Source organism: Homo sapiens, chromosome 11, assembly GCF_000001405.40.
Source record: "Homo sapiens chromosome 11, GRCh38.p14 Primary Assembly".
Taxonomy (NCBI): domain Eukaryota; kingdom Metazoa; phylum Chordata; class Mammalia; order Primates; family Hominidae; genus Homo; species Homo sapiens.
In genome coordinates, this window is record NC_000011.10 from 405,276 (window position 1) to 417,903 (window position 12,628).

The window sequence follows — 12,628 nt, forward strand, 5'->3', positions numbered from 1 at the left end:
GGGCTCTCACACTGGCTGCCTGAGGTTTGGGGTCCAGTGGGCTCTCGGACACCCCCATCCATCTCACCCAGAGCCAGGCCATTTAGTTGTGAAGTTACTGTGGATATTCTTAAAACAGAAAGTTTCTGTGAAGCTCAGAACTTGAGGTCTCTAAGGAGCCTGCCCCCATCCAGGATCTGCCTGCATGGGAAGGGTCTAGGAAGAGTCACGTCCCCAACCAGGGACCAGGCAAGGAGGCCCAAGGAGGCTACTGTAAGCACGGGACACGCCTGAGCTGGCTTAGGAAGGGGGATGGAGAGAGGGCAGATTTGGTGATTTGGCGGGTGGGGATGAGAGAGGGAGGGGTGGGGATGAGAGAGGAGGGGTGGAAGGCTGAGAGAGCCGCAGAGGGAAGCCGAATCCGAAACCTTCCGCCGCAAGGGAGGAGACCGAGGCCCCAGCAGAATCCAAAAGGACTTTATTTTCTGGCACTGGGAGGCGCCCTGAGGCCACAGCCTTTTCCCAGGGCTGCTGGCAGGGTCCCAGGGCTGCTGGCAGGGGTTGTGGTCCTGTTGAGCAGAGGAGCGACGCCGCTGCCCTGGCCCCCGCTGTCCCTATGATCCTGCACTCTGGGGTGGGAGCTACATATCATCCTTGGACACCAGGCAGTAGAAGTCTGTGCGGGCACTGTAGTTTCGCGAGCCGAGATCCGAGACGTCCACTTCGCTGCTCCGGCTCTCTCCCAGCGAGACCCCACTGGTGTGCGGTGGAGCTGATGGCTCTCCAAAGACAGGCCCCCGGACACCTGGGGTGGGGAGACCGAGACGCCTGAGGTGGCCACCCACAGCCTTGGCCCAGACCCACTGCCAGGGGCTGCCCCTGCTCACCCCCTGCTGTGATGGCCTGTGAGGCCCAGGAAGTTCCCAGGCAGACCGAGGGCCGAGCACCTCCAGGGCAGAGGCCGTGCAGGGGCTCCCGGTGCCGGGAAGAGTCCTCAACACCTGGAGCCCCTCCAGGCCCTGTGCCCTGTGCCTGCCCCCACTCCGCCCTGTGCTGAGCTTCTCCAGTTGGGGAGTGGGGCTGGGCGGGCATACCCAGGTCGCCCTCAGGGTCCGGGTCCACCTCTGAGTCCAGGGCCCGGCCCTCAGGGACTCGGCCTCGAAGAATCAGCATGGGGTCCTTGTCGTCCTGCAGCTGCGTCTGGGGGTCTCCTTCCACAGGCCTGTACTGCACCTTCCGCGGCAGCGCCAGCTGCACTTCTTTCCAAAAATCGGAGGAAGGAGTCTGGGGGCCAGGTCGGGGCGGTTTGCAGGTGTGAACACCTCGGAAGCCCCTGGCGTCCTGGCCCCCAAGAGCACACCTGCGGCTGCCCACGGGTTCCACGCCCTGCGACAGCTATTCCGTGGCTCCGGGGGCCTCAAGGGCGGCTCCCCGCATCGGGGCCCCAGGCAGCGGAACCTCCCCCCAGGGCCCATTCACAAAGCGTGGTGCCGCAGAGCTCCCCACGGAGGGGTCCCAGCCTGGAGCCCGGGCACCGCCCATCTCTAACCCGCCGCTAGCCCCGGACCCTCCCGCGCCTGCTCCGCACCACGGAGCCGGGCCTCCAGAGCAGCAAGGTCACCAGGTGGCGGTGCTGGCGCAGCAGGCGGAGCGCCGGGTGCGCGGGGTCGCGCCTCTGGCCCTCGAAGGTGATGAAGATGGGTCTGCGGGTGAGCTCCAGCAGCCGGCACAGGCCCTCCCTGCGGGGCGGGACCGTCAGGGGGGTGGGTGCTACGCTGGGGCCCACCCAACCCCGCGCGGGACCCACCGGAAGCTGTGGCTGCACCAGGCCCGGCTCAGGAAGGCGTCCGAAAGCACCACGATGAGGCGTCGGCAGCGGCTCAGGTTCACCAAGAGGTCGGCGGAGGGCTCTGCGGGAGGGCGGGCGTCGGCGGCGCAGGGGCGGGGGCGGGGGAGGGCGGGGCCGGAGGCTCAGGGGCGGTGCCGGACGCAGAGCTCTAAGGGAGGGGCGGGGCCTGCGGGGTGGGCGGGTTTTTGAGGCGGGGCCTCGGGTGGGCGGGGATGGGGGCGGAGCTCGATGGTGGGGGTGGGGCCCCGGGTGGGACGGAGCATGGGGCGGGGCGGGGCGGGCCCTCCGGGTGGGCGGGGCACGGGGTGGGGCCCGGGATACCAGCGCGCGGCAGGAGGTCGCGGTCGTCCAGGAAGAGCTTGTAGCCCCGACGCCGCTCCAGCTGCGGCTTTAGGATGAAGTTCACGAACTTGCGGTCCTCGGGGCAGTCGCTGTAGGAGACGTAGGCGTCGTAGAGCTTCCCGTCTGCGGACGGCGGCCAGTCACCCCGATGGCTCCCGAGGCCTCACACCAGCCCTCGGGGTCCCCAACACCCCTAACCATCTCCCACGTGCACAGGGGCAGACCCGCCCCGGACTTTAACCCCAGCCGGGCCGCACAGAGCACCCGGGGGCTAACCCCTCCCCGCCGCACGCCTCCAAAGCCGAGCTCAGCAGCGCACTCTCAGGGAGGCCGTGGCGACCCCTCCTCGCGCCCACGCGGGCCCCACGCACCGTTTATCTCCACCTCCCCATACGCGTCCTGGTACCAGAGCAGCACGTTGAGACGGCACTTGACATAGAGCAGGGCGGCCAGCAGCAGGGCCAGCAGGACCAGGAGGGAGGCCAGCACCGCAGCCACGTGGCTTGTAGGGCCTGCGGATGGGTTGCCTGAGCCGCTGCCCCTCCAGCAGCCCCCAAGCCTCAAGATCCCTGGGCCTCACTAGGTCTAGGTCCCCTTCTACCCTCCACCTTGGGGAACCCCCATCACCAGCTCTCTGAAGAGTGAAGGAGGAGAAGCTGATGTTCTGGATGGAGCAGGTGAAGGCCCCATAGACTTCAGTGCTGGTCACGTTGACCCCCAGGACACTGGACACAAGCACCTCTGACAGGTTGGCCTTGACCCTGGGGATACCAAGCCAGGGTCAGGGTCGACTGGGGATACCAGTGGACACCCCCGAACCCCACCTGTCTGGGTTCACCCAGGGAGGCTGCAGAATTGGGCCTCCTGGGTGGTTCTTGGGCCTTAAGCCAAGAGAAGTGACCTGAACCTGGAGGGGATGCAGATTTGTTTCAGAACAGCCGTCCCAGTCCTGGGTCTGGGGCCTGGAGGTCCTTTGATCACAGACTTGGCCAGCTGGTCGGTGTTCATTCAGACCCTAGACTTTGCTGACACCCGTAGCCCTGGGCAGTTACGAGGTGTGTGCCTACAGGGGCCATGCAGACCCAAGGGTCTGTCCCTGACATTACTGACCCTCCGTCTGGGTCCACAGAGGCACTCTGCTCGTGACATGTCTGGCCAGGTGGTTACAGACCCAGGCATAGGTCAGGGAGACCACTGCCCTTGGCATGTCTGAGAGGTCACTCTGACCCTGGATACCCGGGTCTCTTACCAGGAGTACTCGTGGAGGCTGTAGTGGCCCCCAATTCCCAATGGAAGCCCGTCTTTCAGCCACTGGACTGAAGGCAGGGAGCAGTGGGGCCCAGAGACTACCCAAGCCGTGCAGTTCAGAGCCACTGAGCTGCCCAAGGCAGGCCTCAGCACCTGGTCTTCAGACGGGGAGAGGAAGTCAGGGGCCCTATCACAGACACCTGAAGAGAGAGGACACAGTGGGTCAGCTGTGCCAGGGTGCCTGGCCCCACCACCTCCACAGTGGTCCGTGGTGCAGGAAGAAATAAGGCCTCTGTGTGGCTTGGCAGTCACACCATGTCTGTCCACGAGTCCCATGGGGACAGGCTTAGCACTTGGCACGTCTTTCCCCAGTAGTGGCCAGGCTTTGGGTGTTCCGCCCACCCTGTGCTGAGGGGACAGAGAGCAGTGGCCACAGTTGAGCTGCCCCAGGCCCACGCTCAAGCCCCATCTGGCTGCTTGTCCACCCAGGATGTGAGTCCAGCCCCCCATTTCCCAGATGCACCTGTTGCCCACCCCTGGTGACACCATGATGCCTGTCTCATAGGAGGGGCCGGGCACTGCACCCCTCAGCCTGGCCTGCCTCTGCTGGGGAATCTGCAGAGAGTGTGGGCACCAGTGGGTTTGGGGACCCAGATGCCCAGTGTGCCAGCACCTTCCACCTGGATGGGCACAGCTGGGAGCCTGGAGCAGTTGGCCTCATTCCTGCCTTGGGGGTCTTGGGGCCCTCTGCTCCTGGCCACAGGCAAGCCCTCCCCACCACCTGAGGCCTGAACTTGTTCATCTTTACATCAGGGTGATGAGCCCTAGCGGGAGGTCAAACCACCATCTTCTCAGTAGGGTATGGTCTCCTGCCAGCTCACATCGGCCACACCCTGCTGTGGGCCCCAGCAGTGCCCACTCCTAGCATTCCTGGGCTTTACTGACCCTCATGAGCCTGGTCTGGGGCAGGAGAGGGTGCAGGGCTCATCCTCACCACTCGCCCTGGTTTCAGGGCCAAGGGCCCAGTGGGAGGGGTGAGCAGGGGCCTTTGTACCCCCGGCATGTGGCCAGGCAGAGTGCCTGGGATAAGAGCAGGATGCACAATGTGGAGCCAGCCTGAGGGGCAGGAGGTGGGAGTGGGGAATTCAAGCCCATCCCTCTCTGACCTGCCTACCTGGCATGGCTCTGAGCCGGGGCCTCCTCGGGGCAGGCTGGGCTCCAGGGTCACCCCTGGCTCCACCGGGCTCCTCGGCCAGCAGACTGATCCAAGAGCTGGGCAGGACTCCTCTCTGTCCTTGCAGTCAGCTGGACAGGGCACCTGGACAGGTCAGAGGCTGCCGCCATCCCCAGGGAACAAGTTAAACAGGAACAGGATGAGTTAACCAGTAACTGCCGGCCACAGACAGCACTGGCCCTGACCAGATGCGACCCTGAGCAGCCGCATGGATGCTGGCAGAGTTCTCGGAGGCCAGCAGGGTGTCTCTTTGAGCCCCTCACACGTGGCCAGAATGGGCACCACTTCACGCAGCCCAGGACCACGGGGAGGGGCCATCAAGTCCAGGATCACCTCCACCGGCCCTGGGGCCACCATGACGGCCCCAGGGTGCAGTGGACGAACACTAGGTGGGACCCTGTCTCCCGACATGGCAGTTGGCCTCACTCCTGGCTGTCCCCTTCAACAGAGCTGCCACTGCAGGGGGTGCTGCAGTGCCAGAGACACAGCCTGGCCTTGGGGCAGGGGTGTGAGTGATGTAACCTACACCATGGGAGATGCCCAGCTCTGACCATGTCTGGATACAGTCGGTGGGGGGTGCTCAGCTCTGACCATGTCTGGATGCAGTTGGGGTGGGGGTGCCCAGCTCTGACCATGTCTGGATACAGTCGGCGGGGGGCTTTGCTTAGCTCTGACCATGTCTGGATGCAGTCGGGGGGGGGGGGTGCCCAGCTCTGACCATGTCTGGATACAGCCGGGGGGGGTGCCCAGCTCTGACCATGTCTGGATGCAGTCAGGGAGGGGGTTGCCCAGCTCTGACCATGTCTGGATGCAGTCGGGGGGTGCCCAGCTCTGACCATGTCTGGATACAGTCGGGGGGGGGTGCCCAGCTCTGAACATGTCTGGATGCAGTCGGGGAGGGGGGTGCCCAGCTCTGACCATGTCTGGATACAGTCGGCGGGGGTGCCCAGCTCTGACCATGTCTGGATACAGTCGGGGAGGGGGGTGCCCAGCTCTGACCATGTCTGGATACAGTCGGCGGGGGTGCCCAGCTCTGACCATGTCTGGATGCAGTCGGGGAGGGGGGTGCCCAGCTCTGACCATGTCTGAATGCAGTCGGGGAGGGGGGTGCCCAGCTCTGACCATGTCTGGATGCAGTCGGGGGGTGCCCAGCTCTGACCATGTCTGGATGCAGTCGGGCGGGGGGGGTGCTCAGCTCTGACCATGTCTGGATGCAGTCGGGGAGGGGGGTGCCCAGCTCTGACCATGTCTGGATACAGTCGGGGGGGGGGGTGCCCAGCTCTGAACATGTCTGGATACAGTCGGGGAGGGGTGCTCAGCTCTGACCATGTCTGGATACAGTCGGGGGGGGGGGGTGCCCAGCTCTGACCATGTCTGGATACAGTCGGGGAGGGGTGCCCAGCTCTGACCATGTCTGGATGCAGTCGGGGGGTGCCCAGCTCTGACCATGTCTGGATACAGTCGGCGGGGGTGCCCAGCTCTGACCATGTCTGGATACAGTCGGGGAGGGGGGTGCCCAGCTCTGACCATGTCTGGATACAGTCGGGGAGGGGTGCCCAGCTCTGACCATGTCTGGATGCAGTCGGGGAGGGGGGTGCCCAGCTCTGACCATGTCTGGATGCAGTCGGGGAGGGGGGTGCCCAGCTCTGACCATGTCTGGATACAGTCGGCGGGGGGTGCCCAGCTCTGACCATGTCTGGATGCAGTCGGGGGGTGCCCAGCTCTGACCATGTCTGGATACAGTCGGTGGGGGTTGCCCAGCTCTGACCATGTCTGGATACAGTCGGTGGGGGGGGGGGGTGCCCAGCTCTGACCATGTCTGGATGCAGTCGGGGAGGGGTGCTCAGCTCTGACCATGTCTGGATGCAGTCGGGGGGTGCCCAGCTCTGACCATGTCTGGATACAGTCGGGCGGGGGGGGGGCTCAGCTCTGACCATGTCTGGATACAGTCGGGGAGGGGGGTGCCCAGCTCTGACCATGTCTGGATACAGTCGGGGGGGGGGGGTGCTCAGCTCTGACCATGTCTGGATGCAGTCGGGGAGGGGGGTGCCCAGCTCTGACCATGTCTGGATACAGTGGGGGGGGGGGGTGCCCAGCTCTGACCATGTCTGGATGCAGTCGGGGGGGGTGCCCAGCTCTGACCATGTCTGGATGCAGTCGGGGGAGGTGCCCAGCTCTGACCATGTCTGGATACAGTCGGGGGGAGGTGCCCAGCTCTGACCATGTCTGGATACAGTCGGGGGGGGGTGCCCAGCTCTGACCATGTCTGGATACAGTCGGGGAGGGGTGCCCAGCTCTGACCATGTCTGGATGCAGTCGGGGGGTGCCCAGCTCTGACCATGTCTGGATACAGTCGGGGGGGGGGTGCCCAACTCTGACCATGTCTGGATGCAGTCGGCGGGGGTGCCCAGCTCTGACCATGTCTGAATGCAGTCGGGGAGGGGGGTGCCCAGCTCTGACCATGTCTGGATGCAGTCGGGGGGTGCCCAGCTCTGACCATGTCTGGATACAGTCGGGCGGGGGGGGGTGCTCAGCTCTGACCATGTCTGGATGCAGTCGGGGGGTGCCCAGCTCTGACCATGTCTGGATACAGTCGGGGGGGGGTGCCCAGCTCTGACCATGTCTGGATACAGTCGGGGGGGGGTGCCCAGCTCTGAACATGTCTGGATACAGTCGGGGGGGGGTGCCCAGCTCTGAACATGTCTGGATACAGTCGGGGAGGGGTGCTCAGCTCTGACCATGTCTGGATACAGTCGGGGGGGGGGGGTGCCCAGCTCTAACCATGTCTGGATGCAGTCGAGGGGGGGTGCCCAGCTCTGGCCCACGTCTGGTTACAGTCAGGAGTGCACGTGAGCACAGACACCTCGAAACACCTCGGGAAACACCTCGGGAACCCTCAGCTTAGCCTCGCCCTGCGGTTGTGAGGCCGGAGGGTGAACAGCGCCCGGTGGGGATGGAGGTCTCGGGTCCCATGTCCTTTCCCAGCCCGTAGCAGCAGCCACACACACCTCAAGTCTCCCAAAGCTCCTCAGTGAGGTGGCTGCAGGGAGAAGCCCAGAGCCTCTTCCTTGGCAGCCCAGGGCCCCAGGGGCCTCTCCTCACTGGATGCCACAGGGTCACCCTGTTTATCCAACAGGCACTGACTGTCTACTCCCCTCCCTGCTGCAGGGACACAGTGGAAGTGGGGATGTGGGGATCAAGCCTAAGTTTCTGCACCCCAGCTCCCTCAGGATTCCTCCCCGCTAAGGCCCCAGAGGCAGTGGCAGGGACAGTCCTCTTAGCCTGCCACCTATTCCCTCTCCATGGGTGAAGCACAGCCAGAGGCCCCAGGTTTGACTGTTTGGCAGTTTCCTCGGGAACCGATACAGCATGAGGCACACACCCATGGGGGATGGCCAGGGGGTCCTTGAAGAAGTCCTTTGCGGTGGAGGACACTCCAAGGAAAGTCCTTGACCCAGGGGAACCACCCACTGAGGGTCCTTAAAGCACACACTTCCCAGGAAACCAACCCCTCACAGCAAGCCCGGGAGGTCACACCGCCAGCCCAGCAGAACCCCTGGCATCTCCTGCAGTGCTTCCGTGACCGCCCCAAGCTCAGACCTCAAAGTCCTCCCTCCAAAAGCAGCCTCAGAGCCTTCTGGAAGTCAAGGGCAGACTGCCAGGATACGAGCACAGCAAGAAAGCAGGTGCCCTCCCCTGCAAACCCTCCTCTGCACCCTCTCCGCTGCCTGCCTCTCCTTGCACCCTCTCCCCTGCACCCTCTCCCTGCAAACCCTCCCCTGCACCCTCTTCCCGCACCCTCTCCCCTGCTCCCTCTCCCCTACGCACCTTCCCCTGCACCCTCTCCTCTGCCTGCCTCCCCCTGCACGCTCTCCACTCCCCACCTTCCCCTGCCCACCTTCCCCTGCACCCTCTCCCCTGAACCCTCTCCTCTGCCTGCCTCCCCCTGCACCCTCTCCCCTCCCCACCTTCCCCTGCACCCTCTCTTCTGCCTGCCTCCTCCTGCACCTTCTCTCCTCCCTACCTTTCCCTGTACTCTCGTCTGCCTACCTTCCCCTGCACCCTCTCCCCTCCCCACCTTTCCCTGCACCCTCTCCCCTGCACACCTTCCCCTGCACTCTCTCCTCTGCCTACCTTCCCCTGCACCCTCTCCCTCCCCACCTTTCCCTGCACACCTTCCCCTGCACCCTCTCCTCTGCCTACCTTCCCCTGCACCCTCTCCCCTCCCCACCTTTCCCTGCACCCTCTCCCCTGCACACCTTCCCCTGCACCCTCTCCTCTGCCTACCTTCCCCTGCACCCTCTCCCCTCCCCACCTTTCCCTGCACACCTTCCCCTGCACCCTCTCCCCTGCACCCTCTCCTCTGCCTACCTTCCCCTGCACCCTCTCCCCTCCCCACCTTTCCCTGCACCCTCTCCCCTGCACACCTTTCCTTGTACCCCCTCCCCTCCCTAACTTCCCCTGCACCCTCTCCTCTGCCCCTCCTCCCCTGCACACATCACATACACACAGCCCTCTGGCCCATGTGCACCTGCACAGAGCTTCAGTCTCAGCCCGTGTGCACACTTGCACCTCCTACACAGCACACTTCCTACCACACACACCTCCCATTACCACTGCACACAGCTTAGGCTGCAGACCCCTCACACAACTGTTGAGTATATACAACACCCATTGCAACGCTTGTCACAGAGCCTAGGACCACAGGCACCCCACAGCACACACACTGCACCTGACACCCACCCTTGGCCGCTGATGCGACACAGCCTCCTGCTGCCCCTCGCTCTGTCTCACACACACATGCACACACATGCATATGGGTCTTGGGCGCCGTGGGCCTCCTCTCAGCCAGGCCCTGACACAGGCTCACTCAGAGCAGCGGGGAAGGCAGTCACCTGGTTCCAGTTCTTTCCTCCGGGGGGCAAATGTTGGTCATTGGTGCGCCTTTGGGAGCAAACTCTCCCCTTCGCTGGGCCCCAGGGAGTGTCCACAGCACCAAGGCTGCTATGGATGCATCGCCAAGCGCGGTGGGGACCTGGCTTGTGTCTTTGTGTATTTTGATCAGAACTTTCCCTGTAGCTTCCTGGCCTTGCAGTCACATCCTCTCCTAACCCTAAACCCCACCCAGGCACCCACCCCTTCCCTAGGCGGGCGGGAGGACGGGCAGTTGGTGGTTCTCACCCCGCCTGCCCCGGCTCTTCCTGTAGCTCTGAGTCAAGCGGCTCCTTCCTCTGGAGCCCGCCCCAACCCACCCAGGCACGGCACTTTCCTCTGTGCAGCGTGTGTGTGTGTGTGTGTGTGTGTGTGTGTGTGTGTGTGTGTGCAGTGTGTCTGCGTGTGTGCAATGTGTGTGCAGTATGTGCGTGTGCGTGCGTTTGTGTGTGTGCGTGTGTGTTGTGGGGTGGGGGGTGCTCAAAGGGGCAGGTTCCAGGGGTAATGCATGGGGGGTCCTCCAGCCAGGAGACCCCCGCCAGGGCCACCCTGCACACATACAAGGAGGACCGGGGACCGCGCGGCATGCCTTCCAGACGCTACTAGAGCTCACACTCAGGAGCCAAGGGGCCGGTTTGCTCCCCCATGTGTCTTTGACCTCTGACCCCGGGGAACAGGGCCTTCAGAAACTCCCGGTCAACAATGGGGCTCCAGCAGAACTCTTCCGCCCTCTCCCCGTCCCTCTCCCAGACATAGCTCCCCCGATGGGTGAGCAGTTACAAGGGACTATGGCATCTTGTGGACCTTCCCTTCAGGCTGGGGTGGGAGGGCAGCGCCCCCTTTTCCAAATAAGGAGCAAACACAGGTGGCCGAGGCTCCTGGCTCAGAGCAGATGAGGGGCAGATGGCATCTCCTGTTGTCACCAAACTGACACTCCCCAGGTTGACCTGGGACTGGGGACCCAGTGACCGGTGGCTGGTATTGCCCACAGAATCAGACAAGGGTCTCCTTTGGACCCTGGCCCTGCCCTCAGCCACATGGGGGCAGGGCTTCATTGTGGAGGGCTGCCATCCAGCCTCCCGGCCCTGGCTGAGCACCCTCTCAGCAGCAGGCTTTCTACAGGTACTTGTCTGACTGAGTCCCAGCCCTGCTAGGACCTTCCTTTGTCCCGGTACTCAGCCTTGGGTGATGGTGGGCCTTGGGCTCAGGGTCCCAAAGACAGCACCCCTTCCCCCACAGAGCCTGGTACCAGCCCCTCCTTGAAGTGGGTCCTTGGAAGCCCCTCAAGAAGGTTCTCCCCACACTGCAGGTCAGGAAGCAGGCACAGCAGGGCCCAGGGCACCCCCGCAGGAAGCAGGAGCAGGGCCTCCAGCACAGGCCCTGGGGTCAGCCGCCAACTGTGAAGCCCCGGCTCGGCGGCTGCTCTGTGCACCCGGTCTCAGCGTCACCATCTCTCAGGGCTGGCTTGGCACCCTCTCCTTCCCTCTCTCTGCTAACGTCCTGCACCCCCGAGCCCCCAGGTCCACCGTCCAGGGTGAGCATGAACACCCACAAAGTCTCCGACCCTCGCCCGCACAGCTCTTCCGAGGCGCCCAGAATCTCAGTCCAAGCCTGGCCCTGGTCGCCTCGCACTGCCCACCGCACTCTGCTGGGCACCTTGAGGTTCTTAGAAAGCGCCAGCTCCTCCCGCCCTCAGACCCAGCCAGCGTCCTCGGTCCGCGGCCGCCCCTGCCCGGTGGGTTCGACGCTCAGCACCCAGCACCCTGCGGGCGACTCCCGCTCAGCTCGGACGCGCCGCCCCTCCGCTCCCCGTGCGCGCTGGGCCCCCAGCGCCTGTCCTGAAGCAGGAACGTGGGTAAAAGGCTGCGGCCCCGCAGGCCGAGGGGCTCTGGTTCGCTCCCCTACCCCGCGCCCACCTGCGCCCTGGGCGCCCTCCAAGTGAGGAGGGCGGAGAACGAGGACGCGCGCGGGAGGCGGGCACGGGGGTGCGGCTCGGGGCGCTCGGCCGGGGCAGAGGCGCGCGGATGGCGGAAGCTCCACCCGGCGCCGGGCGAGCTCGGGCCCCAGCCTGACTCTTGGTCCGCCCTCGGCGCCTCAGGAAGCCTCGAGCTGGGATCCAGGCTTGGGCGACCGAGGTGGGATCCCTGCGCGCCTCGGCGCTCCTAGCCCCGCTCTGTTCTGCGCGAGGGTCACCAAAAAGCCGCTGACCACGTCGGGCAGAGGAAAGGGTGGCCCCCGCCCCCTTCGCCCACTTTCCTCCCTTCCCCCAGCCCTGGAAAGGGCCAGGACGCGGGCGAGCTCGGGCTTCCGGGCGACGCGGGAACCTCCCCGGCCCCGAGCCATTTCCTGAGAGACCGCGCCCAGGGACAAGCAGCGCCCCGGGCCCCGACTCCAGGCCTGCAGCGGCTCTGGGAGGACTGCGACCTCCACTCACCTTCGCGGGTCTGATGGCGACCGCCACTCACCTGCTGCCAGGACCTGGGGCTCGCGCCGGGCGGGGGCGGGGCAGCTCACCTGAGCCAGGTGCGCAGCGGCAACAGCCCCGGCGGCGGCGTAGCCCCGGCAGCGGCAGCAGGTGCGGCCCCGCCCCGCAGTCAGGGCGGGGGCGGACCCCAGCGTCCCGCTCTGCGCCCAAGGCTGGCGCTGGAGGCTGCGCTGCTGCCCGGGAGCCGCTGCCGCACGGGCCTGGGGCCAGTGGCCAAACCAGCCCAACCAGCGCGCAGAGCCCCGGAGCCCCAGAGCCTTGGGGACTCTTCGGAGCGTCCACCGCCCTCAAGGTTTTGCGCGTCCGCCCCTATCTCTTCCCTTTCCTCCAGGAAGCCTGCCTTGACCCCCACCCCACCCTCAAGTGGCCCCGATGTCTTCTCTTGCCTCCCTCAACACCCCAGGTGCAGGGACGGGGAGAGGACCCCATAGGCGCCCCTCCCTTGGAAGCCCATGGAAAACTGGAGAAGGGACAGGCGGCCTGAGGCGGCCTCACCTGGTTCCAGACGTTCCACACTCCGGGTCTGTTTCCCATCTAGCCCTGAGGGCAGATATAATCC

The 12,628-nt window shown here is 65.1% G+C and overlaps 1 protein-coding gene across 8 annotated transcripts, besides 9 other annotated features; it reads right to left on the bottom strand.

The window, feature by feature from the left end:
• Nucleotides 247-940: an enhancer, noted in NCBI's record as "H3K27ac-H3K4me1 hESC enhancer chr11:405522-406215 (GRCh37/hg19 assembly coordinates)". NCBI's record gives its function as "activates a minimal SCP1, AML or CMV promoter by ChIP-STARR-seq in naive H9 embryonic stem cells {active_cell/tissue: H9 hESC(naive)}" and the evidence as "EXISTENCE:reporter gene assay evidence [ECO:0000049][PMID:30033119]".
• Nucleotides 441-12,122, bottom strand: SIGIRR (single Ig and TIR domain containing). Of its 8 annotated transcripts, none has more exons than NM_021805.3 (10): nucleotides 12,050-12,122; nucleotides 4,593-4,752; nucleotides 3,420-3,618; nucleotides 2,798-2,931; nucleotides 2,542-2,682; nucleotides 2,150-2,293; nucleotides 1,787-1,889; nucleotides 1,568-1,718; nucleotides 1,074-1,263; nucleotides 441-784 (listed from the first exon to the last, which is right to left on the bottom strand). In NM_021805.3, the coding sequence occupies exons 2-10, from the start codon at nucleotides 4,597-4,599 to the stop codon at nucleotides 621-623; spliced, it is 1,233 nt and encodes a 410-aa protein (NP_068577.2). In that variant the 5' UTR covers nucleotides 4,600-4,752; nucleotides 12,050-12,122; the 3' UTR covers nucleotides 441-620. The 8 variants fall into 8 exon arrangements, with proteins under 8 accessions (NP_068577.2, XP_047283344.1, NP_001128525.1 ...); XM_047427388.1 differs by having other exon boundaries at nucleotides 867-1,263; NM_001135053.2 differs by having other exon boundaries at nucleotides 12,019-12,122.
• Nucleotides 1,517-1,566: a silencer, noted in NCBI's record as "silent region_2998". NCBI's record gives its function as "represses an Ori minimal core promoter by ATAC-STARR-seq in GM12878 lymphoblastoid cells {active_cell/tissue: GM12878}" and the evidence as "EXISTENCE:reporter gene assay evidence [ECO:0000049][PMID:35858748]".
• Nucleotides 1,577-1,836: a silencer, noted in NCBI's record as "silent region_2999". NCBI's record gives its function as "represses an Ori minimal core promoter by ATAC-STARR-seq in GM12878 lymphoblastoid cells {active_cell/tissue: GM12878}" and the evidence as "EXISTENCE:reporter gene assay evidence [ECO:0000049][PMID:35858748]".
• Nucleotides 1,907-1,966: a silencer, noted in NCBI's record as "silent region_3000". NCBI's record gives its function as "represses an Ori minimal core promoter by ATAC-STARR-seq in GM12878 lymphoblastoid cells {active_cell/tissue: GM12878}" and the evidence as "EXISTENCE:reporter gene assay evidence [ECO:0000049][PMID:35858748]".
• Nucleotides 10,197-10,816: an enhancer, noted in NCBI's record as "H3K27ac-H3K4me1 hESC enhancer chr11:415472-416091 (GRCh37/hg19 assembly coordinates)". NCBI's record gives its function as "activates a minimal SCP1, AML or CMV promoter by ChIP-STARR-seq in naive H9 embryonic stem cells {active_cell/tissue: H9 hESC(naive)}" and the evidence as "EXISTENCE:reporter gene assay evidence [ECO:0000049][PMID:30033119]".
• Nucleotides 11,337-11,406: a silencer, noted in NCBI's record as "silent region_3001". NCBI's record gives its function as "represses an Ori minimal core promoter by ATAC-STARR-seq in GM12878 lymphoblastoid cells {active_cell/tissue: GM12878}" and the evidence as "EXISTENCE:reporter gene assay evidence [ECO:0000049][PMID:35858748]".
• Nucleotides 11,467-11,586: a silencer, noted in NCBI's record as "silent region_3002". NCBI's record gives its function as "represses an Ori minimal core promoter by ATAC-STARR-seq in GM12878 lymphoblastoid cells {active_cell/tissue: GM12878}" and the evidence as "EXISTENCE:reporter gene assay evidence [ECO:0000049][PMID:35858748]".
• Nucleotides 11,617-11,696: a silencer, noted in NCBI's record as "silent region_3003". NCBI's record gives its function as "represses an Ori minimal core promoter by ATAC-STARR-seq in GM12878 lymphoblastoid cells {active_cell/tissue: GM12878}" and the evidence as "EXISTENCE:reporter gene assay evidence [ECO:0000049][PMID:35858748]".
• Nucleotides 11,907-11,956: a silencer, noted in NCBI's record as "silent region_3004". NCBI's record gives its function as "represses an Ori minimal core promoter by ATAC-STARR-seq in GM12878 lymphoblastoid cells {active_cell/tissue: GM12878}" and the evidence as "EXISTENCE:reporter gene assay evidence [ECO:0000049][PMID:35858748]".

What these genes read in the sequence shown, in the direction of transcription:
- SIGIRR (XM_005253045.1), bottom strand. An exon ending in TGGGGAGGTGGAGATAAACG is followed by an intron (nt 2,294 to 2,541) that starts GTGCGTGGGGCC and finishes CGCCGTCCGCAG; the next exon opens with ACGGGAAGCTCTACGACGCC. An exon ending in TCTGGAGGCCCGGCTCCGTG is followed by an intron (nt 1,264 to 1,567) that starts GTGCGGAGCAGG and finishes CCTGGCCCCCAG; the next exon opens with ACTCCTTCCTCCGATTTTTG.